The following is a 26,078-nucleotide window of genomic DNA, read 5'->3' on the forward strand; positions in this document are numbered from 1 at the left end:
TTCTCTGGATTTCCTGAAGTTGAGTGTTGGCCTGTCTGGCTAGGTTGGGGACATTCTCATGAATGATATTCTGAAATGTGTTTTCCAAGTTGGTTCCATTCTCCTCATCTCTTTCAGGTACATTAATCAGTCATAGATTTAGTCGTTTATATAATCCCATATTTCTCAGATGTTTTGTTCATTCCCTTTCATTCTTTTTTCCCCCATTCTTGTTTGCCTGTTTTATTTCAGAAAGCCAGTTTCCAGGTTCTGGGATTCTTTCCTCTTCTTGGTCTATTCTGTTGGATGGTCTTGCACATGAGATGGAGCTGGTCTGACCTCAGCCCTCCCTAGTCTGCTTGCCTCTCCCAGGACCCCAGCCTGGCCACATCTGCTTACAGGGCACTCTCAGGTGCCCACACATACTACAATAATTTTCATAATGCAATCACACACAATCACCGTGTGACTGCATTATGAAAATTCTTCTAGTGTGATTTACAGCTCTGTCAGGTCAGTTATTTTCTTCTTTATACTTGCTATTTTGTCTGTTAGTTCCTGCAATGTTTTACAATGATTTTTAGCTTCCTTGTATTGGATTACAACATACCTCTTTCACTCAGGGAACTTTGTTCCTACCCATATCCTGAACTCTGCTTGTATCATTTCAGACATCTCAGCCTCAGCCCAGTTCTGAACACTTGCTGGAGAGTTGATGCAGTCATTTGGAGAAAAGAAAGCATGCTGAATTTTTGAGTTTTCAGTGTTCTTGCACAGAGTCTTTTTCTCATCTTTATGGGCTTATCCACCTTCAATCTTTGAGGCTGCTGACCTTTGGACAGGGTATTTTTCCTTTATTATATCTGATGACCTTGAGGATTTGATTGTGGTGTAAGGTGGATTCAGCCAACAGGTTTTGTCTTTGGAGGATTTTAAGGGGCCAACATGCAGCTCCCAATTCTTGGACTGTGTGCTTTAACTCTGGGGAACTTGTATTGGGCCACAACTTTGTTCTCTGGCTCCTCGAGGTTTGGAGTCCACCGCACTGAGGGGACCAAAGTGCGGCAGCTGTGGCAGAATGCTAGCAGATGCAAAAGTCCCTGCCTCCCTGTGGGCATTCACCTAGTGGTGGAGGCAAAACAGCTGGGGTGTGGGCCAGGGGGCCCCTGCTGACTGTGTGTGCTGTTGCACTGGAGGTAGTTCTGGTTTGGGGTGGGTGGCTGGCCAGTGAAGGTGCCTTCTCTGATCCCCCCCAAGCAACAGTGGTCACTCAGGGTATAAGAAGGTCCCTTTTCCTCTGCACAGCATTACCTCAAGGGTGAGATGCTAGCAGGGGTGGGGTTTTTGGTTCTGTGCCCACCATGGCTTCATCTTCAGTGGCAGTTGGTGTGGGTTGGGGTGTGTGCTGCATTCCCATATGCTGTTAGGGCAAGTACAACAAAACCCACCTGTGTAAACACACACAGCTAAGTGATGTAGAAAGTTTCCATATAAAGGGCTGCAGTATGGAGAGGTAATGTGCAGGCTGGTACGTGGCTGTAGAGGTCACCTTGCTGCAGCTCTCCACTGATCAGCCACGGTCCGCTTGTACAGAAGCTATGGTGTGGGCACCCAGAAGTGCCCTCTAAGCAGGTGTGGCCTGGCTGGGGTCCTGGGAGAGGCAAGCAGACTAAGGGGTGCTGAGGTCAGACCAGCCCCATCTCATGTGCAAGACTGCCCAGCAGAGATCAGGTCTCAGAGGAGAACTCTCTCAAAAGTGAATCCTCAGCACAGCACAACTGCTCTACACAAACGCGGCCAGACTTCTTTTTTAAGCAAGTCCCCCTTTTTAGGAAGAGAACTCTTAGACCTGATCTGTGCTGGGCAATCTTGCACGTGAGATGGGGCTGGTCTGACCTCAGCACTCCTTAAGTGCTGGGATAAAGTGTCTCATAAGAGCAAGTGGAGCCTAGAGTCATAGATGTCCCTGCCCTCCGGGCTCCACATCAGCTGACTTGCTGCTCCACCACTTTCCTTGTCTCCTGGGGGCTCCACCCCAGAGAGGTGTAAGTTAGGAGTTACTTAATGTAATCACCCCAGGATGGAGGGTCTGTGCTGTGGGCCCAAGCCAGGGTTCCTTGTCTGGTGATGAGCAGTAAGGGGTGTGTTGTACCCGTGGAAGATGGACTGACTTGTTCCTTGTGTCAACTGCAGCTTGTTGGAGGTGTCAATATGGCACTTAGGGTCTTTGCTCCCTTGATATTCTGAGGGTAGCAAGGGCAGTTCCACTGCAGAGGCAGTGGCAGAGAGGATTTCTGTTGCTCCTGGAAGCTCTGTCCAGGGAGTTGCTGAGTTGCTACTGGCTTGAAGGCTCAAGTGGGGGGCTGGCTGGAGACCCAGGCCAGGAAGACCTGCCCATCATGGCCCACCCCTCTCTCTGGGAACTCTGTCCCAGGAAGGTTTCAAATCTCCATTGGCCAGGGAACACTGGTGGGTGTAGCTGGAGGCCTCAGGTGGGAGATCCTGTCCAGTGACGAGGAACAGGATCAGGGGCCTGCTTACAGAAGCATTCTGGCCATGATTTGGTAAAGCAGCTGTGCTATGCCACAGGATCTCTTCTGTCCCTGGTGAGTTTGTACTCTCCAAAGCCCGCACGCTGGAATGACTAAGTTGCCCAAACAGGAAAGATGGTGGCCTGCCTCATCTTTTCTCTCAGAATTTATCCTGTGTGATGGAGCTTAATTTTTAGGTTGTTAATTTTACTGTCAGCGTTAGAGTTGTTCAGAAAGAATCTCACTGTTATCTTTTAGGTGAGATATATAAGAATTCATTTTCTCCTGTAAATAAACCTGTTGATGTTTGTTCTCTGGAAAGAAGTCCCTTTCAGCTATCTGACTTTGATCACAATCATGTAGAGCAGTAGTCAGTCTACAATGACATGATTGAATTTCCATTTCCAGTGTTTCCTAGTTGTGTCTTACATTCTCCAGTTCAGAACTGAGCATTCTCAGTTGTCAAAATCCTAAGCTGTCCACTGTACTTAAATACTGGTTTTCGTTAATGCTTCTTCATTCAGTTGTATAGTCTTTAGAAGTTTTTCTTTTACACTTTCAATTTCCTCCAAAATTTTATTTTCCCTTAGCTGGTTCTGATGTTTTGTTTCATCTAGTTCCAGTCTTAGCTTGGCAATTTCTTCCCGCAACATGCTGTTTTCACGCAAGAGATCTTCTTCTTTCTTATGACTAAGAGAAAGCTAAGTAAACAAAGGGAACTTTTAGTTAGCACTCAATAGAATGACATATCATGATTTCTTCTAAAATCAAAGAATGACATTTATATTTGTATAATGAAATAATTCCCATAGTGGATATTTAACTGGAAAAAAGTTGGACAAAACTTCAAATCTAGAAGAGTGTAAATTCCAAAAAGTTGAAATATTTATCTAAAGACCATGAAAAATAAATCACTAGAGGATTTTTAAGAATTTCAGAATTGGAAAAGCCTTTCTCTGAATTACAAAAAACCCAGAGGCATAAAATAGAAGATTAATACATTTGGCTACATTTTTTAAATTGGGTTTACACTCTGATATCTAACCTACAAACCACACCATCATAAGAGCCTCAGCTATGCATATATTAGGACAGAAGCAATTCCTCAAAGTTCTTTAAGTTCCTTTTTCTGAGGAATGTTTTATCAATATACTGCTTTTCTAATATTTTTACAGTCAGTTATAAGAATTACATTTATTCATAACTGTTAAATCTAAGCATTGTACCCTTCTACAATGTACACACCGGCATCTAAGCATTGCACTTCTACATACAACACTCAACTCATTTAAGATCACGATTCTTAAAAGGAGAGGTCAAAAAATATATGCAGCCAGGACCAGTGGCTCACACCTGTAATCCCAGCACTTCAGGAGGCTGAGGCAGGAGAATCGTGTGAACCTGGGAGGCAGAGGTTGCAGTGAACTGAGTTTGTGCCATTGCACTCCAGCGTGGGTGACAGTGCAAGACTCCATCTAGAATACACACACACACACACACACACACACACACATATATATATGCAACGTGCAAGATTTTTGCCAGGTCTTCTGATGCTACTGTTAGTGATCCTCCACAAAATCAGTTGCTTCTGTGGTGTAAATATATAAATACAAAAGAAGCCTTTTATTTCAAAATACAAATGGTAAATAAGATATAACTTACAAGGCTTTTCTTAGAAATCATGAGATTATTTGCCATTGCAATAACTTTTCTTTCCTCTTCATAATGTTTGAAACATTATAGTAGTAAGTGTGAAATACGGGAAACGTACTGAACTATTCATCTGGGAACAAAATACTTATCAATAAATTATCACTAAATGTGTATCATGGCATGTCATTGTTTTCAAAGCTCTTTGCATTGAATTGAGAAACTACTCGGAGCAAACTGTTCCTCTCCTCAAAAGCAAGGATAATGACATCCACAATGTGGCCTCTGACCCAGCTGTACATTTCCTACTTTCCTATTAGTGAAAATAACAAACTGACTTCTCTATTAATATTTTAAAAAGAACTAATGTCCCAAAACTAGCAAATCTGTTGTTAGTAGCAAAACTTATTTTTGATATTGGAAAGATAATCAATTCTTATGAAAAATATCAAATGCTTTTCCTTTGGATTGAGGCCATTGTGAAGGTCACTACTCGACTGTTGCAGGCAAATGCAGTTGAATTAAGAACATGGCTTTATCCTATGTGTACATATATAGATATATGACCAAGGATATACAGGGTGTGTGTATATATATGATTTAAAAATCCTTTATACCTTCCAAAATAAAGCTTTTTAAAAATATACACACATATGAAAACATTTGATAATGACTAAAGAAAATACCTCAGAATTCATTTCCTTTTCAGCCACTTCTATCTGCTTTTGTTTATTAGTCAGAATCTCATCTTGTGATATTCCAGTGTTCTGTTCTTCAGAAAGTTGTTTCTGGGTATCATTTTGTTCGTCACTAGAAGAAATTTTAATTTTCATGAAATACTGGAGGTGTCCCTAAAATGATCTACAGGGCAAGATGGCACCATCAGATGTCATTCACACAATGTATATCTGCACATTAATCCAAGACAAGGCAAAGGGGCCTCACATCTGTTAACCCTGCTCTCCCAGTCATGTTGGCACCAGGGACTAGTTTTGTGGAAGATAATTTTTCCATGGACCTGAGGTGGGGGATGGTTCCAGGATGATTCAAGCACATTACATACATTGTGCACTTCATTTCTATTATTACTAATATATAATGAAATAATTATATAACTCACCATCATGTAGAATCAGTGGGAGCCCTCAGCTTATTTTCCTGCAACTAGATGGTCTCATCTAGGGGTGACAGGAGATGGTGACAGATCATAAAGCATTAGATTCTCATCAGGAGTGAACAACCTAGATCCCATGCATGAGCAGCTTGCAATAGGGTTCAAGTCACACTCTTATGAGAATCTAATGTCACCGCTGATCTGACAGGAGGAGCAGCTCAGGTGGTAATGTGACAGAGAGTGGCTGTAAACAGATGAAGCTTCACTTGCTCATCTACCACTAACTTCTTGCTGTGTGGCCCAGGTCCTAACAGGCCAGGGACTGGTACTGGTCTGTGGCCTGGGGATTGGAAACCCCTGTGTTAACTCAAACTTTTTACGTTTATTTTTTGGAAACAGTTTCCACTTATATTCTTTATTCCTCTGTAATTTATAGACAAATTAGAAATTCCCTTTGGAACAAGACAGGGTCTAATATTGTGTTTTTAACATAGAACTTTGAATTAATTTTATCTGTGTATGAGAGAGAGATGTGAAATAAACTGATCATTAATCGCTTTCAATTTCACTTTTATTTCATGCATATTAAGAAGAAAACTGGGAAGCCCTAGGCAGAGCAATTGGGCAAGAGAAATAAAGGGCATCCAAATTGGAAAAGAGAAAGTCAAACTCTCTCTTCACCAATGATATGATCTTATGCCTAGAAAACCCTACAGACTCCTACAAAACACTCCTAGATTTGATAAATGAATTTAGTAAAGTCTCAGAGGTTACAAAATATACAAATACCAATGAATAGTACCACTATACACCAACTACAACCAAGCTGAGAGTCATATCAAGAATCCAATCCTTTTTACAATGGCTGCAAAATAGTAAAATACCTAGGAATATACTTAATGAAGGAGGTGAGTGATCTATCAAAGGATAACTGGAAAACGCCACTGAAGAAAATCATAGATCATACAAATAAATGAACATACATTCTATGTTCCTGGACTGAAAGCATTGATATTGTGAAAATGCCATAGTGCCCAAAGTAGTCTACAGAGTCAATACAGTTTCTACCAAAGTACCAATGTCATTCTTCACAGAGTTATTTTAAAAAGCTGTCATTCATGTAGAACCACAAAAGAGCCTGAATAGCAACAGACATACCAAGAAAAAGGAACAAACATGTTGGCATCAAATTACCTGACTTCAACTCTAAGGCCACAGTAACAAACATCATGGTACTGGTATAAAAGTAGATACACAGATCAATGGAACAGAATAGACAACTCAGAAAAAAGGCCACTTACAACCAAATGATCTCTGAGAAAGGATACAAAAACATACACTGGAGAAAGTACACGTTATTCAACAAATGGTGCTGGGAAAAAAAGATAGTCACATATAGAAGAATAAAATTGGATCTCTATCTCTCACCATGTAAAAAATTAATTCAAGATGGATTAATGGCCTAAACCTAAGACCAGAAGACATTAGCCTAGGCAAATAATTTATGATGAGGACCCTGAAAGCAAAAGCAACAAAAATAAAAATAAATAAATAAATAAATAAATAAATAAATAAAGACCTAATTAAACTAAAAAGCTTCAGCACAGCAAAAGAAATAATCATCAAAGTGAGCCAACCACTTATACAATGGGGAAAATATGGGCAAATTATGAATCTAACAAAGGATTAATGTCCATAACCTACCAGAAGCTCAAACAAATCAGCAGGAAAAATACAAACAATTCCATTAAAAAGTGGGCACATGACATGAATAGACATTTTTCAAAAGAAGATGTACAAATGGTGAACAAGAATATAAAAACATGCTAAATATTACTAATCATCAGGGAAATGTACAATAAAACAACAGTGAGATATCACCTCACTTCAGCCAGAATGGTCACTACTAAAATAAAAAAAACAGCAGATGTTGGTGTGGATGTGGTGAAAAAAGAAGATTTATACACTGCTGGTGGGGATACAAATTAGTACAAATCTATGGAAAACATTATGGAGAGTTCTGTTAAAGTAGATCTTACCATTCTATCCAGCATTCTCATTTCTGGATACCTACCCAAAATAAAAGAAATCATACTCTCAAAAAGACACCTATATACATATGTTTACTGCAGCACAATTCACATATGCAAAGATATGTTATCAGCCAGTGTCCATCAACTGATGAGTGGAATAAAGAAAATTATATATATATATATATATATATATATATATATATATATATATATATATATATGTATGTATACCTGAGACTGGGTAATTCATAAAGGAAAGAGGCTTAATTGATTCACAGTTACACATGGCTGGGAAGGCCTCAGGAAACTTACAATCATGGCAGAAGGTAAAGGGGAAGCAGGCAACTTCTTCAAAAGGTGGCAGGAGAGAGAGAAGTGAAAGGGAAAGAGCCCATTATAGAATTATCTGCTCTTGTGAGAACTCACTATCAAGAGAACAGCATGGAGGAAACCGACCCCATGATCCAATACCTCCCAGCTGGTCTTTCTCTCAACACCTGGGAATTACAATTTGACATGAGATTTGGGTGGAAACACAAAGCGAAACTATTGGGGGGGGTGTATCCTTACTTTTAAAATATCAAAATGTCATTATTTATATTTCAAAAATAGCAATTTTTATTAGTAATGATTTTGTTTGAAAATAAAATGACCTGGTAAATTTTCTTCAATTTTAGCCTAGTATTTAGTCAAAATATAAAAAGCTGAATTTGCCAGCAGAAAACTGTAATTACTTTTAAATGAGGTAAAGATGTATAAGAATATCACTGTTATTGTACTGAGAAGAAAGTGAATGAGAAAAGGAATTTAAAAAGAGAGTATCACTACCATATACATACATGAACTGACAAAGAGACTAAAATCTCCTACTGGAGATTATGTTAGGACTTGAGCAAAAGCTTCTAAAAATACCAAAAACAGAAAGAAAATAATTAATTTTAAGGAATAAATTATACAGAGAAATATGTATTTTAAAAAAGGAAAACAGATCTTCCTGAGAGCTATTATTAACCAATTCATCCTGACCAAAATTTTAAAATGAAGTCTACAATTCTGGAATATAAAGTACTTTCATTTTGAACATAGTTAATTGAAGGCAACTTTTATACAGAAAATTTTTGGTTAAAGTTGACTCTAACTTAGGAAAGAAATGACTTGTACCAATGGTAACAACAAGCCACCCAAAAGCCAGTTTGAAATCTAGTCAATCAATCAATGACCACTGCTCTTGCTCACCAACCAATATCAATGTGAGCAGCTTGCTTCTGAAATACAGCCACGCAGCAGCACCTGCTCCACCAGAATAGACAGTGCCTGACCAGTATTCCTCTTACTATAGGAAGCAAAAAATTCCAACTCTGTATCTTTATTTCAAATACCAAAGGTTCATAATCCCTTGAAAAGAATTTGTAAGTCCATTAAATGTGCCACCCTAATTTTTTTTTAAATAAAATACTAGTGGCCAGGCACAGTGGCTCATGCCTGTAATCCCAGCACTTTGAAAGGCCGAAGTGGGTGGATCACCTGAGGTACAGAGTTTGAGACCAGCCTGACCAACAGGGTGAAACCCCATCTCTATTAAAAATACAAATATTAGCCAGGCGTGGTGGCATGCCCCCGTAATCCCAGCTCCTTGGGCGGCTGAGGGAGGAGAAATGCATGAACCAGAAGGCGGAGGTTGCAGTGAACTGAGATCATACCACTGAACTCCAGCCTGGGGGATACAGCAAGACTCCATCTCAAAATAAAATAAAATACCAGTAAAGTTTACAATTCCTCTGACTCAGTTTACCATAATTACAATTATGTTTACTAGTAAAAGAATAAATAGTGAATAACCACAATATTGGGCTTTTCTCTCTAAATAAAAAAATAATATAAAGAATGTAGCTTATTATAAAGAGCCAAAACAATTTTTAAAATGCATGTAATTACCGGGCAAAACTGTTAGAATGAACCATGTCAAACATTTTTAAAGTGAGAATTAATCAAACAATATATCCAGGATAAACTCCATTCACTCATTTAATAAGTATTTATTAGGTAGCTTCATCCAATATGCTAGGCCTTTTTCTAGGCAGTGAGGATATGGTAGTGAAAAATAAAAACCCCATTCATGAGAGTGAGAAAAACACACAATAACAACAGACAGATAAGGCAAAATATACAGTATGTTAGAGGAGAAAAACTAAAGCAGGAAAATGAAATGTTTATGTGTTTCATGGGGAGGGTGGTGGGAAAGTTGGGGTGGTCAGAAAAGTCCCTGCTGAGAAAGGGGATTTTTTTTTCTAATACAAAAAACCTTTTATTTGTATATCAAAGACTCTAAGAAATGACGACATAAGGTTAACGGCATTGATGTCAAGATACAAATGGGTTTGAAGTTAGAGATGTTAAATCACTTTGTTTCACTGAACCTTCCCTTCATTACGTTAGAGAGCATCCCTGGTAGGCACCCAATTGAACCTCAAGCATGACGCGTCTAGGTAGCACGCTGTTCTTCCTCAGAAAGTGGTTGTTCCTTAATGTCTTTCTTTTTACCCTTTTTCCTCTTCTTCTTAGAAAGGGGGTTTTAAATAAAGAAGTGAAGGAATGGAAAGAGAAAGCTAGGAGGATAACTGGGGAAAAATCATTCCCGACACAGGGAACTGCGAATCACAGAGGTGTGCCTGGCATCTTTAAGCACTAGGGGTAGATAAGGGACGGCAAGAATTCAGTTTGGCTGAAGCAGAGCAAGGGAGATAATTAGGAGGAACTTTGACACATACTCCGAGTGAAATGGGAGATAATCAGAAGGGCTGGGGCAGAGGAATGACACAATTTGACTTATGTTTTAAATACATCCACTGAGTTAAGAATTGATGAAAAGGGAAGTTTTTAAAAACCAGGACTATCAATTCCCAGTCTATGACACTCATCTAGACTGCAGATGAGGGTGGCTCAGATGTACAAGATATGACTGACTTCTGGACATATTCTTCAGGTAGACCTGACAAGATTTACTGAGAGATTAGATGTGAGGTGTCAGAGAGAGAGAGAGATGAGTCAAGAATGACACCGAGATATTTGGCAGAGCAACTGGAAGAGTTGCCCTTAACCAAAAATAGGAAAGACTACATGAGGTGCAGATTTCAGGAAGGACATCAGTAGCCCAATTTTGGATCTGACAAGTGTGTGATACCCAATAACTAACCAAATAGAGACGTCAAGTAGGCAGGCTGATATAGAAATCTGGAATTAAGGAGAAAGATCTGAGCTGGAGACATACATTCAGAAATCACTAGCATATACACAGTAGAAAAAGTCACGAGGGGCCAGGTGCAGTGGCTTACACCTGTAATCCCAACAGTTTGTGAGACCAAGGCAGACAGATCCCCTGAGGTCAGGAGTTTGAGACCAGGGTGGCCAACATGGGGAAATGCTGTGTCTACTAAAAATACAAAAATCAGCTGGGCACGGTGGCATGCACCTGTAATGCCAGCTACTCAGGAGGCCGAAGCAGGAGAATTGCTTGAACCCAGGAGGCAGAGGTTGTAGTGAGCCGAGATCACACCACTGAACTCCAGCCTGGGAGACAGAGTGAAACTCTGTCTCCAAAAAAGAAAAAGAAAAAGTCACAAGAAAGAAGACTGAGGAGTGAGCCCTGGGAAACAACAATGTCCAAAAGGAGAAAGATGAGGAGGAGCAAGCAAAACAGACCATGATGAATGGACTAGAAAGGCAGGAGGAAAAGCCTGAGGGAGTGAGGTCCTGAAAGCCAAGTGAAGATGCCGTTAGGGAGGAGATGCCCTCCATTGGCTCAAATATTGCTGACAGATTAAATAAAATGAGGTGGAAGAAAAGTGCCTAGATTTATTACAGAAAAAAATTAGTGATAATCTTGAGGAAAAACAATGCTGGAGGACTGCTGAAATTGAAGACTTACTGGCATGAGATCAAGAGTGAATGAAAAGAAAATTTGAGTTCGTGAGTGTAGACAGTTCTTTTAAGGACATCATACTTAGGAGTCATGGCTGAGAATGTTGTAATTTTCTTCCACAGTCATGGAAAAGTAATAGACAAATAGTTTCAAATTTTACATAAAAGGTGTAGTTTTCAAATTTTATATAACAATTATATATTTTAAAGCTTATAAAAATTATACACATGTGGCATTAAAAATGCCAGACCAAGGTGTTAAATCTTAAAACTATAGAACTAAAAGTTGCCTTGACCATTTCTAGATTACATAAGCTAATTATCATTTTGTTCATGCTTATACATAAAGACCAAGAAAAACTAAAAGTTTCAAGGAGAGTATTTCTTGCTTGATAAAAATCAGCCAATTCTAGGACAGTTGATGCTCATCGAATATACAAAGTAATTGATCACCATAAAATACTGAATTCTATTAACAGGAATAAAGTGGCAGAAATGCAGAAAATAATCTTATTTTACAAATGAAATTTTTAAAAATATATGAAGTCACTGTGGAAAAATATGGTGAGGTGAATACCAAAATATATCTTTTTCTCAAAGGAAAGATACTGTCACACATGCTGGGCACTTTTATAAATAAGTGTTACTGCATTAGCAGCACCTTCCTTTTAGCACAAGGGTCAGCAAATTAGCACCTGTGGGCCAAATCCAGGCCACTGACTGTTTTTGTAAGTAAAGAATCTTGGAACACAGCCATGCTTATTCACTTTACAGTCCATAGAGTCAATTAGCTGGGTGTGATGTTGCACACTTGGGGTCCCAGCTAATAGAGAGGCTGAGGTGGGAGGAGGATCACTAGAGCCCAGAAAGTCAAGGCTGCAGTGAGCTGTGATCACACAATTGCACTCCAGCCTGGGCAACAGAGACCCTGTCTCAAAAAAAATAAATATATATAGTCCACAAAGCCTAAAATATTTACTAAATGGCTCTTTGCAGAAAAAGCTGGCCAGCTCCTGGTTTAGCAGATGAAAGATACTTTGATATATTTTAATAAAAGTTTTACCCAATATACTCAAATGTTTATATTAAATATAGGTCCCCATGTACAATCCCTTGGCAATATTCAGATTGAAGGTCCAATATTTTGGCACTCAGGCACTGACAACAAAAATTTAATAACTACCAATCTCGTTGCTAACAAGGTACAGTGTCAATGTAGCGTGTAGCTTCCATTTGCAACACAGCAGATATTACAAGAATTCTAACAAAATTATCTTAAGATGTGTTACCAAACTAAATGCTTTAAATACATTTTAATTGTGAAATAATCAGTATACTCTAGATCTAACCTCATTTGTAAAAAATGTTTGCATACCGTATTATTTTCTGGGTATGAAAATTGAGCCATTTCCTATTGGTAAGGATTTACTTTTGATAATGATAAATTCCTATTGATAAGGATCCATCTTTTTGATATAATAACGCTGTAAGAAATGTCCTTATACATAAGTATATATGTGACAAATCTATACAAATATCCTTAACATACATATATATACTTACTATGTTATATATGTGTGTGTGCAAATATGCTAATAAATTAATGTTCAAAATATATTTACCAACAGTGTATGAATTGTCTTTTTCAATGAGACCGTTTCCTTTGCAGCAACACACATGGAGCTGGAGGCCATTATCCTAAGCAAACTAATGCAGGAACAGAAAATCAAATGCCACATATTCTTACTCATTTGTGGGAACTAAACAATGAAAACTCATGGACACAAAGAGGAGAATAACAGACACCAGGGTCTACTTGAGGGTGGAGTGTGGCAGGAGGGAGATGACCAAAAAACTACCTCTCGAGTATTTTGCTTATTATGTGGCTGATGAAGTAATCTGTAGTCCAAACCTCCATGACACAGTTTACCTATATAATAAACCTACACATGAACTTCTGAAGCTAAAATAAAAGTTCATTAAAAAGAAAAGGAAATGCCTTTTCCCTCACATTTGCCAATGCCGGTTATTTTTCAAATAAATTAATGACTGGAAAAAACGGTAACTCATTGTTTACTGATTTTCATTTTTCTGATTAACAGGCAAGGCTGAATATTCTAGTAAAAGTATAAAATTTGTTCATCATGAAAGCCCAAATTAGGATTAGTTTGACAGCATATAGTTATCTCCTATTAAATGTTGCCATAGGCTCACCTGTGATACTCTTCATTCTCAGTGTCAGGAAATTGCTGATTTTCAGGTTTTCTGCTCTTCCTTTGTGGAATTAATCCATCATCACCATTGCCAGCACTGGCACCATTAGTCAGGTTTTCTGGTAATCCCACAGGATTACTTCCATGCTTCTTTATTTCTTCTTCAACCTTGAGTGGAAGTTTGATATTAAGGATGGTTATCACTTTATTGAATAAAAATAACCTTTTTAATTGATTTTATCAATTGACTCAGTTTGCCATTATTTTAGTCATTAAAAATATTTCACACTTAAATTTGATCATATATACAGAACTATAACTGTATAATTTTAAGATGTAATTATCATGTCATTAGTATATCACTGAAATTTTTGTAAAGTTTGCTTGATTCCAGCTGTTTGACTGAATAAAACAGAATTTTCCAAAATTCAAAAAGGGCCCTCCTTCATTTTGTGCTTTTATTCCCAAAAACTCTTCAGAATCTTATATATGAATTTACCCCATTTGACTCGTGGGAACACAAAAATAAAACGACATAGACACAAAATGTGTCTTCTGTCTTTACCACCTAGATTTTACATTAAACACTCAGATGTAGAGGATGAGACACTGGGGGGCTTCAGGAATAGAAAGGAAGATGGCCCTTTTCTGCACTAAGATATTCTCCTCCCCCACTGCCTTTGATCGTTCTTTTTTCATTTGGTTCCTGGATATCAAAAACATGATGGTGCTCACTGAAACATGAAAACCAAAGTTTGCCACAACACAAGGAGCAGAGTGAAACTGCTGAGGTGCAAGCATGGAATTCCAGAAAATTAGATGCTCCCCAAATTTCACATTCAATAGCTATACAATTTTCCAGCTGGAAATTACAAAGAATAAGTAATTATCTTCTTTAGCCACATTATCTAGTGATAATCAGACTAAAACCAAGAAAGATAAAAGGATTGGTCCAAATCTCCTAAAGTGGCATTACCTAGCATTTTATGGCACCATTCAGGATTGTTCCATAATAATGAAAGAATCTCTCTAGGGTTTGTATCTCTTGAAAACTCAATGTACAGAATTCTTTCTGAGTTAAATATTAAATTTTTCACTGGTGATTTATGCTACTTACATGATAGGATCATGTATGCGTACACTTACTACACTTTGTTAAACAGCATAACATAAAAATCTAATTCCACAGAAACATTTGAACATAAAGGTATACCTCTCTATCACAGTCCTTATTTATTTCTGGTTCTTGAGACATTTTCTGCAGATGCAAAAATAGAAGGTTAATTTGCTTGTTGTATTTCCGTGTATGTCTCCTCTTTTGGAATGCATGTTAAAATAATTTTATTCTTAAGTAATCAAGTATGGACATGAAAAATTAGAAAATAAAATAAAATTTAACTGTTAAAATAATTAAATAAATAAATAATTAAAATTAAGAATTAACTTTTTAATCTATGTTTAGCTACTGCCACATCATTGGCTTCTGACTAACATGGGAAAATAATTCACCTTAGACAAAGGGAGAATAAAAACATGAACCAGCAAACTTAACTTTGTCACCATTTGTTTGGACTAAACTTAATTTGTTATGTGTTAAATCTACCAAAAATGAATTAGCAGATGATTTGTAGTGTTCCAAGGGCTTCCTCACTTGAAAAGAGTATATCTCATGAAACCCTAACTAGTGAGCCCCTATAGTGCACTGAAGTGCTTTTTAAAAAGATTCCTAATTGGATTGTAGGCACGCTTTAAATTATTAGGAGCTGAAATCAACACCAAACAGGAAGAAATGCAAATTCTTAAATTTTAATTGAAATTATATGCTGTAATATGATAGTGTTATGTATCTAGATGATCTGCTTAAGTCCAGTTCTAATATATTCTAAGGTGTACTAATTACAGTGGATAAAAATTTTTTAATAATCTGTACTGATTTTCTGCAACTAAAATAAGGTAGAAGGTTATTGTGTTTGTGCACTAACACCAAATGTCCCATTCTGCAAGATATGATTCTTGTAATAGGCAGTTGGGTTGCTTTTATGACCTGGTTCCCTCCCTGAACAGAAATGCTGAGGTCAGTGAGAGACCACAAGGCAGAATATGTCTTTAACCTTGGTATCAGTGACTGACAATATAAAACTGCAGATTTTCAATCACTGGCCGTGATTATTCTTTAACCATGAATCCAGCTCAGGGACCTTCAGTGTTACATTGTTCACAGTTCTATTGCTTAATAATATAATCCAATAATTGATGGTACTTTATCATGTTAGGGTGTTGTAAAAATAAAAGAACAAACAAAGGTCTGGAATATGTTTTTGCCTCTATTCCAAAAGGAAAGATTAGCTATAAGCTAATCAAAAAGGCAGATAAGAATATTTTAAATAAGAATACCATAAAATAAGAGTATTTTAAATTTTATAGTGGTTACGTTTTTAAGCTAAATATCAAATGTTAAGTTAGAATTTATTAATTCTTCTGTTAATGAGATTGCTGAATTTATTAAAATAAATTTTAAGAATCTATTAAAAAATTCTTAAAAAAAGAATCTATTGATTCTTAAAACCTAGTCTGAAAGGTAATTTCATTTGGACTATCTAATATTATTCAAGCAAAGAAAACAACGTTAAATCAAAAATTTAAACTTAAAATTTTCCATGCCTCTGGCTGGCTATTTTCACTGACTTTAAGCCTTTGTGACTCTTCCTCTGATGTCAGCTTTAAGTCTTGTTCTGTTGAGAAATCCATATATTCAGTTAAAATGAACCACTTAGAACAGTTAAAAACTATTGCCTTTATAAAAATAGATTGAAGACAACATTTTATTTTATTTCATAAACTGAGTGTTTAGTCTTTCATGAAATAGTTACTTAGGAAATAATTCTCCAAAACTTCAACAAACCACTTGGGGAGACACCTGATGTGATTCACTCACAAATTCATCCACCCAACATAAATGAACAAAACCACCAGAAACACAACTTCAAAATACAGTAGAAACATATAAGGTAACTCAGTATGTTGTTCACTTCCTAATAGTGAAGCAGTAAATGTAAAGAAAAGGAAATTTAGTTTTAAAGAGAAACAAGTTTTCCTGCACTTAGCTAGTCTGACTCTAAGGATAGTAACAAGCAGGCCCAGGAAAGGTCATGGTGACCCTGTCTGAGAAGCCAGAGCCCACAGGTATGGGCTCCAGACATCCCAGAGCAAGGTTAAGAAAACAAATTCCTTTACCATCTCCCCTCCCCCTCAGCATTTATTCATAGCTATTTTTACAAATGCATATATTTTGCAAATTCTTGTTTTCCTTCAATGCAGCTGCAAGGTCACAAGCTATGCAGTGGTTGCAAAACTGTCACTATATGATTAACTGCCTTTGTTCTGCTTCTATAAGTTTGCCTATATAAGCCAAGCCCTGTCTTTGTTCAGGGCTCAGCTTTTTGATGCAAATCCGCTGAGCTGGTGTGCACCTAAACAAAATCCTCTTGTTTGACCCACTGGGTCTCTCCTGCCTCCTGTTTTCTGCAAAAATAGTACCTTACAAACGATTTCCAAAATTACTACTGACACCTTTATTAGTGTACAATGTCTTCTTAACATCTAAAATGTTTCCATCCACTATTATGACAAATTTATTTTCATTTTTCTTTTTTTTTGTTTTAGCTGGGGTCTTGCTCTGTCACCAGGCTGGAGTGCAGTGGCACAATCTCAGCTCACTGCAACCTCTGACTCCCTGGTTCAAATGATTCTCCTGTCTCAGTCTCCTGAGAAGCTGTGATTACAGGCACACACCATCATGCCCAGCTAATTTTTGTATTTTTAGTAGAGATGGGGTTTCACCATTGGCCAGGATGGTCTTGATCTTTTGACCTTGTGATCCACCTGCTCCAGCCTCCCAAAATGCTGCAATTACAGGTGTGAGCCACCACACCCAGCCTTGTTTTCATCTTTTAAAACAATGCTATGGGAAGTCTTCCTTGATTCTGCAGATCTTTCCCCAGATAAACAGGTAACTCCTTCCTTGAGGTTGCCTTAGGACCTCACTGATTTTTCTACTGCACCTTTACCACCTGAACTGTACACTATTCCTCCACATGTCTGTCCCCTCTGCTCCAAGACTGCAGAGGACAGTCTTGCACATCATCTTTGTAAAAACAGTCTTTATTTTACTCAGAAATTTCTTATTGAGTCCTGCTACATACATGCTAGGTGTTAGGGTTTAAAAAGAATGAAAATAAAGCCTGTCAGGGATGGCTTTTCTAGAACACCTGCCCAAGCAGAGACTTAAATATTGAGGCTAGCTAGATTAAAAGTGGTAGAGGGCAAGAAAGGGTGACAGCATGCCACACAGCAGCAAGAGCAGGAGCGAGGCCTGAAAGAGTGAAAGTATTTGCCTGCAATAGAAGGAGGAGTGAGTAGGGCATTAAGAGCCACTCAGTAATGCCAGAGAAAGGGCACACAGGGAAAAGGGCTAAAGATGTAGAATAGGGCAGAAGTCAGATTATGAAAGCCTTATGTGTACCTTTAAGATGCTTAGACATTAACGTTCAAGAGTGGTCCCTGGTCCTATCTGTATTAAGATGTAGATCATTTTAATGCCAAAACCAATATTCCTAGTGAGCCATTATTCATTAAGACAAGGTGACAGCTAGCTCATGTGGACACAGCTGAGATGATACTATGTAGCAAATTCTCAATAATTCTCATGAACACTTGGAAAGTCAATTCTATAATAAGTCATAGAAATTATAATAAATCACTTAATATTTGTTTGGGAAGGTGCTTTATAAAGTTATAGTGTATATGAATATAACTAATAGTTGTGAATTCAGAGCTGTGAGAATAAAGCAAAAAAATCACACTGTGTTTGAGTCAGCAATCTTTAGATTTCTATCTAGTCTTCCTACCCAGTCCATAAATTCTAAGTATAATCCTAGTACTCGCTCTCAAGTTTAAGTTAAATGCTAGCCTATACAAAAAATACTCTTTCTCTTACTTCTTTTTTGTTATTTATATGTTGCTTTGTTTAAAGGAAGAACACAAAAATGCCCTGCTAAAGGGATTCTGTTTGGCTGCAGGCTGCAAGAGGGGAAAAACACAAAGCACATTTTGCAGAAAATGATTTTTTAGAAGTCAGAACTATGACATGAAGTCAAGCAGGGCACTCTAGGACTGACTTTGCTGTGCTTCCTTAATATGCTCCTTGCTCTCTTTCTTTTCTGGAAGCTGTGACTCACACAGGTCATGGAGAAAATTTCGTACTCCTTCCTCATTCCCAGCTTAAATACTAGTGTACAACGTGGAAACCTGTAAATTATCTGACATTTCTCTCTGTCCTCCAAACCTTTCTCATTCAATTATCACTAAATCATATTGACTATACCTCTCTTCTGCCTCTGCTTTATATTACCACTTCCACTGAGAACATAAACATTTACAAAATGGCTTTTATTACAAAAAAGCCTTCCAACTATTAATGTTATTTCTTACATGAAAAAAATTAAGCAAAACAAATGAAAAAAGCATAACACCAAAAAAAGGCCAACACATTAAAATGAGTAACGGGGATTCCAAACTTTATTTCACCATGGGCAGGTGAAAACCTTAGAATACATTGATACTAGTCCAAGGATGTGTGACATGGAAACTATAGCTGACTACTGCAAAAGCTTCCTTTGTCTCCTGGTTTCTTTACATGGTTATCTTCCATCAATCCCAGCAAACTATAGGCCACAGGACAAATCCAATCTGCCTTTTGGCTTTGTAAATAAAGTTTTATAGGAGCTCAGTCATGCCTGTTTGCTTACATATAATCATGGTGGCTTTCACACTACAACAACAGACAACAGCCTGGTTAAGTAGATATGACAGAGACCACATAGTCTAAAATATTTCCCACCTGGTCCTTTACAGAAAAAGCTTGCTAACCCATTTTACACCATAAGCAGAATATGCCTTAATATTCAAATTTAATCTTGTAACTCCCCTGCTCAAATTTCTCCAATGAGCCCCTGCAGCACACATTGTTGGCTCCTATCAATAGCCATTCCTTATTCTTTCTTGCAGAAGAAACACAAGTCTATTGGGATATTTATTATCCCAATCCCCCTCCTCAGCCTCAGAAAGAGAAATGTTTATTCTAAGCTAATCATGTATTTGCCATCCCATTGCCTGGTTTGGGAATGAGCATGTGGTGTGACCCAGCCAATGAAATGTTACAGGAAGCCCCTTGCATGCTTCTAAGTTTTCTCCCTGTTTAAAAGACACATGTGAAGAAAAGCAGCCCTTGAAATGTTGTGTTGTGAGAACAAGATGTTTGGAGCTGCTGCGGATTAGCCAACCACGAAAGGAAACATGAAGAAAACACTGCCAACAGCACAGCTGAAAGAGGGACAAATGGGATCCTAGGATATCACTGAACAACCAAAACAACTCTGGTTCCTACTGTTTTAGCCACTGCTCATCTAGTATTTACAGTCCAAAGCATTCTACCTGGTAAATTTCCCATGGCCCACAGGGTAAGACCTACTCATTTCTATAGTATTAAAAAAGTCTATCATAAACTTGCCTTAGCTAAGTATTCACCTCATTCCCAAACTCTGGTGTCTCACACTTTTGGTACTAGCAAAAGTGAACTGCTCAGAAACCCTGCAAAGTTCACTCGGCATCTTGTCTTTTGCAGTTGTTGCTCTTCCTGCCAAACAGGCAATCTCATCAGATGTTCTTCTGGCAAACACACAAACTTGTTGCAATTTCCTCCTGCCAAAAATTATTCTTCTGCTTCTTTACCTAGAAAAATTCTTCTCACTCTGCATGCTTACTTTGAATCATACCTACTTTTTTTCAAAACTTTCATTCCTCATCACGTATGTCTGGCACATAATTAATACATAATAAATCATAATTATAAGCTTCCAGTTGGCATCTAGCACACAGTAGGCACTGAATAAAGTAGTAAAATAATAAAAATGACAATGATAATAACAAGCTCCTGTCTGTATTTTTAATTGTGTGTGTTCTGTAGCATTAGAAAAATGATTAGTATCTAAAAGACATTTGATAGTTATTTGTTAAGTGGACAAGTGAAAACATAGAAATGTTTTCTTTGTAAATTCTGTTGAAAAAGCACAGAAATGAAATAGAGACACCTCTATTATGAGCACCTTAAAGATCAAAACTACATCTATTCCATCTTTGTCTTCTGCAACTTATAAAACCTAACTTACAGAAGCTTTTTGATAAATAGATGGCTAAATTAAAGGTGTCCTCATCCAGTTTGGATTATACAATGTATTAGGTGTCCACAACCAGGTGGCATACTAGTATTTTTGTTAATGTGAAGCATTTTTCTACTTTTATTATAATCTGCTGAGCCTAGAGTTGGGCAATTTGTATATTTATTATGACAATCTTTTGGTAAATGGTAGCAGAGCATCTTGTTCTAACAAAATTACTGTTATCAAGACAATTGACCAGCAGGTAGAGAACACATCTTGTTCCAACAAAGTAAATGTATCTCTTTCCAACTTCAAATGAGGAGGAATGAAGTCAGTAAGAGTGAGACCTTGTTGGGACAAGGATATGTAACATGACTTGTGCTTTGGCGTTCTTTTGTGATCAAAAATTCCTTACTTTTATTTTTTTATCTATGGTAGGACCACCCAGAGCAGGGGTCCACAACTCCCAGGTCACAGACTGGTACCAGTCCATGGACTATTATGAACCACACCACACAGGAGGAGGTGAGCAGCAGGCAAACCAGGGAAGCTTCACCTGTACTTACAGCCACACCCCATGGCTCATATTACCGCCTGAACTCTGCCTCCAGTCAGATCAGTGATAGCACTAGATACTCATTGGAGCATGAACCCTATTGTGAACTGCTCATCTGAGGGATCTAGGTTGTGTGCTTCATATGAGAAACTAATGCCTGATGATCTGTCACTGTCTCACTTTGCCCCCAGATGAGACCATCTAGTTGCAGAAAAATAAGCTCAGAGTTTCCACGGATTCTACATTATGGTAAGTTGTATAATTATTTCATTATATATTACAATGTAATAATAATATAAAGTAGCACAATAAATGAAACATGGCTGAATAATCCTGAAACCATCCCCACCTTCCCCCAGCCCATGGAAAGACTGTCTTCCACAAAACCGGTCCCTGATGCCAAAAACATTGTGGACAACTGACCTAAAGTAATTCATTATCACAAGTCTTACCTGGATTGCTGTTTTCAGAAGAGATTTTTAGCATCTGTTTTTCTTTATAGTCAGAAAGTAATTCACAAATTCTATGTATAAAAATGTAATAAACCAAATTACTATTTTAATACTGATATAAAAAATACTTACCAAATGTAAAATTCTTAGAGTATTTCAAACAATATCATAATATCAGAATTTAACAGTATTATCCCATACACTTATGAGTACATTCTACAAACTTTTCTTTAAGCTTCTAATTAAAGAAGAAAAAAAATTAGGTGAAATGCTCATAAATCAAGGGCACTGTGACCCAGTAAATCAGCAGGCATTAGCATGACATAATAGAAAGTGTCCCAACTCTGCATAAGTCCTAGCTCCATAATGAACAGCTATTTGTTCTTGGACAACTTTCTTCTCTTAGGCTCAATGTCTTCTTCTACAAAGTGAGGACTTTGCTGCCTTATTTCACTAGGTTGTTATAAAGATTTAACAAGGTAACATTTTTTAAATGCTCAGAGAAATAGTAAAGCAATGGAATAATCTGTTCCTAAACTTTATGACTAAAATTATCTTGGAATCCCAAATAAAACCCCATGTGTATTTTGTTCATAGGTTCTAATATGCAAATGCTGTAGTTTTCAGAAAATGTTATTAAGTCCTAATTTTGCTTCTTAGTTGTCCTACTCCTTATGGCTTATCATTCAGGGCATCTCAACTGTGTCATAGTTTGTAACTAAATTTTTTCATAAATCTCTCATTAAAGTAGATAATGTGATTGTCCACTATTACGGAGTTGACCAATTTGTTGTGCTAAGGGCAGAAAAACCAATGGATGTTAAGACCTGGCTTGGAGCAATGATCCTTCTCTACAGACTCAAACTCTGAGCCAGCAGATGTTTGTTAGGATAATGCTTTATGTTGATGTTCAATTCCAGCTGACATGGGAGACCAAAACTCTACTTTTATTTTTTTTCAGTTTTCATGAAGAAGCTGCAAATTGACATTCTCTAATTTTTGACGTACATACTTATAATATATTTTGCACTGAACACATTATTCAGCTCTAAATCATCTCACAGACCATCTTCCATGACTATTTTTGCAGCACAAATCACATTTCGATATTTTGGTGGCACCCATTTTGCTTTGATTCACACTGTTTCCTTAGAGCTAGTCAGCAAATAGTGAAATGATCTTCCAGTGACTGCACAAAATATGGAATGCTTCAAAGAGTTGTGCTGCCTCCTTATGCAGAAGCCGTGCTAACTTTCTCTGTATTGTTCCAATTTTAGGATATGTGCCGCCAAAGCAGGCACAAAGCCCTACTTTTACACATGATTTGTGATGAGTCATGGGCAAGGCTTGGCTCTTGTCCATGACTCATCACTACTTACTTAACCCACTTGAGATTCTGAGAATTCTCTTCAATGGCTTCCTGTGAGGTACAATTTGAAAATATTTTAAAATCTTGAGCTAGAGATGGAAGTAGCTTGGACGATTTTCATTATCATGTAAATCAGATCACTCAAGGGGCCAACCACAGCTGGGAGCCACTGCTTGGGGAAGGCTCATATGGGACTTTCTACTGCCTAAGGTTCTACACAGGATATAAAGGTGCCTCACAGTGTAGATCTGGTAGCAAAGAAGAAGAAACAAACACTGATCTCTTTCTGCCACATTATTTGAACCCCTCTGACCCTTTATAACAAGCCCACCTCATATCTGCTAGAGAAAAGACCAACAACGGCCTGAAAGGATCTCTTACCATGAAGGTCTCAGCTAATTCTTAGCTAAGATGTGGGTTCCACATTAGGTTCTGAATACAGGAGGAAGGGTCAATTTGCTCACTTTGTGTGCGGATAAAGTCAGGATGCCCAGCGGCCAGAGCAGGGTGCTGGTGCTTTGGGAACAATGGCTGAGCATATATAAGCATAGGTAAGGGAACTAAAAAATGTTGTAACTTCAAAGTCACTGTGTGAATCCCCATGAAGACTTGAGGGATCTGAATCAGTAAGGGCACCTTGGTGTCAAAGGTCAACAATTACCAGGCAGCAGAAGCAGTTTGAGTGGCAACAATGCAGCAACAGAAACAATGGAAACAACAGAATGATTGGAATGTCCTTTTTTCTCTCCTCCTTCTGACTTGATAAAAGGGACTGTCTTCCTTGGATTTAGTGAACCCCTTTGGTTCTTGAAAAATTCAAGGAGTATGTAGGAGACAGTCCCCAGAAGACAGTACAAGGCTTTCTGCTAAACTGGACATTTCAAGACCCAAATAACTAATCAGAAAAATCAAAGATGTGATACTCTTTTTTATGCCATGCATAGGTGTTATACTTGGATGAAATGAACAATATTGGGATCTCTAAGGATAAAGGTCTTAAAAGTCCTGAGGTAAAGAATCCTGCACCCATTGGTACTTCTAACTTGTCTTGCTTTTTGTCTGATTTCTGGCTGATGCAGGGGACTAACTCACTGCCACTCTAAAACTACCTGAACCAAACTATGACATCTCACCTGATATGTAAGATGCAATTGTTATAATTATTTTAAACCTCAATTTAGCATTAACTAGCCTTTTCATGTAAACACTTACACATGATGATGACTAGAAACAGCATACTCTCTGGCTGTCTGTCCAGATAGATCTTGAGAAGATACATCAACATTTTGCTCAAGTAGAAGATTGACTATACTTGCTGATCCACAACATACAGCAAGTATGAGGGCAGTTCTAAAATTACAGAGATAATTTCTCCTTTAGGAACTGTAATAAAGTTATTTTAAAAGCTAATTTGATATACTTTACCAATTTGACATCTTGCCTGTCCATGCAGAATCAAACATTTACATGCGCTAAAAGACATAAGCATCTTGGGTGCTCAAGAGTTCATCTTTGTAAAATACCACCAAGGTTAAAAGGAAGGGACAAAAAGGAAACCTCTTATCTCAGTGGGGTATTGCATAGCAGAAGCTACTAATTTAAAGTCCTTTGATGGGCAAGAAACAATGCTAGGGCCACTTATCTGAAGTGGACAAAGATTTAAGTGAAGATTTTGTCACAGCTTCCCTAGACTGATATGCTGTAATAGAAAATTAGCTAGGGGCTAAGATAAATAAGAGCTCTCTGCATGCTGAAAGCAGTAATATTAATAATAATGGTAAGAATAGTAGTCACAGGAGTTTCAGTTAATGATGCCAATAAGCATGTGCTACGCACTGAATTAAATGCCACATGTACCTTTCTTGCTTATGCACAGCCAACTTTGAAGGATATATTCTCCTACTTTTCACATATGACAACATATTGGGTGGTAAATCACGTTCCCAATGTCACACACGTAGCAAGTAAGAAAGTTAGGAATTAAACCCAGTCTTGTGTGAATCCAAAGCGTAGCTCTTTTCTCTTTATCACCCACCTACAGCTTGCCTTCATTAAAGGAAAAGTGTATCCACTTAAAACTATCTTCACTCCCTCTCTCCATACCAACTAAAAATAAAAACATCAAAATACACTGGAAATAAAAAAGGAAAAAAGCTGTTGAACCCACAGTATGTGGGAATAGCAATTAATTGTCATGTAGGGATAAGCTAACATTAATATTCTTCAAAGAAAGCAACTTAAAGCAGAGTCATTGAAAAGACAAAAGGATTTTCGACTCCTATTTATGTTTAATACAGCATATTTAGTGGAAAAGCATATAAGATACAGAGGTTAAAACCTACTAGAAAGGGTTAAAAAGTTCAATACTGAGTCATAAAGTAAACTGAAAGTTAAAGTTCAAACTTCATAAAATTAATATGAAATCCCTTTAGCTAACATAAGATCATGTAACCAAAAACATCATACAACAAATAACATCAGTCAATATAATAAGAGAAGATGAATCCTACTAAAACAGTTCTTTATGTTGCTCAGTCCAAATAATTGCTTTTCTACTTAACTGATTTGTGTTGATACTGATCACTATGTCCCAATAAGTATAATTTGATCTTATTAATTTATTATTTATGACTTGAGTGACTGCTATCAATCTAGAACAACACACAGATTAAAAGAAATAACCATACCTTCCATATCTATCAAGTGCATTTAAATTAGCTTTTTTCTTGATTAAAAATTTCACCACTTCCTGTTTTTGTTCATGTACGCCAAGCAAAAGTGGTGTGAGGCCACACTGTAAAACAATATAAAACAAAAACAATATGTAATTCAAAAAATTATGTATCTCTCAACTGAACTGGAAGCTTATGGACTTACACTCACAGAAAGTAAATAAAATTTGGTCGCTTCCTTCTCACTCTTCTGTACTTTCCCACATGCCACTCCTTCCCTTGGAAACATCCCTTCTCTGCCTCACCACATTAAATCTGATCATCTCAAAAACTCACTTTAAACATTTACTGTTTCCAAGACTCTTTGTTTC

At 37.4% G+C, this 26,078-nt stretch overlaps 1 protein-coding gene, 1 non-coding gene and 1 pseudogene across 6 annotated transcripts in view; 1 reads left to right on the top strand and 2 right to left on the bottom strand.

Moving 5' to 3' along the window:
* Positions 1-400: 400 nt before the first annotated feature.
* Positions 401-475, top strand: MIR3118-4 (microRNA 3118-4). The gene has a single exon (NR_036134.1). It is a non-coding gene; the product is annotated as a microRNA 3118-4 (primary transcript).
* A 2,504-nt stretch (positions 476-2,979) lies between these two features.
* Positions 2,980-26,078, bottom strand: part of POTEB (POTE ankyrin domain family member B) — a 31,407-nt gene continuing 8,308 nt past the window's right edge. Inside the window, exons 4-11 of one of the 5 annotated variants that reach the window (NM_001277304.2) lie at positions 25,723-25,829; positions 24,248-24,385; positions 21,667-21,737; positions 16,103-16,173; positions 14,655-14,699; positions 13,443-13,609; positions 4,850-4,973; positions 2,980-3,211 (exon numbers count right to left, since the gene is read on the bottom strand). In NM_001277304.2, the coding sequence (NP_001264233.1) occupies positions 2,999-3,211; positions 4,850-4,973; positions 13,443-13,609; positions 14,655-14,699; positions 16,103-16,173; positions 21,667-21,737; positions 24,248-24,385; positions 25,723-25,829 (936 nt within the window). In that variant the 3' untranslated portion in view covers positions 2,980-2,998. Of the gene's footprint in view, positions 3,212-4,849; positions 4,974-13,442; positions 13,610-14,654; positions 14,700-16,102; positions 16,174-19,251; positions 19,272-21,666; positions 21,738-24,247; positions 24,386-25,722; positions 25,830-26,078 lie in introns of those variants that run through there. The other 4 variants (NR_102391.1, XM_017021858.2, XM_047432072.1 and 1 more) reach the window with 4 other exon arrangements.
* On the bottom strand, positions 22,861-22,967 carry RNU6-631P (RNA, U6 small nuclear 631, pseudogene; annotated as a pseudogene).

This window comes from Homo sapiens, chromosome 15, assembly GCF_000001405.40.
Source record: "Homo sapiens chromosome 15, GRCh38.p14 Primary Assembly".
Lineage (NCBI taxonomy): Eukaryota > Metazoa > Chordata > Mammalia > Primates > Hominidae > Homo > Homo sapiens.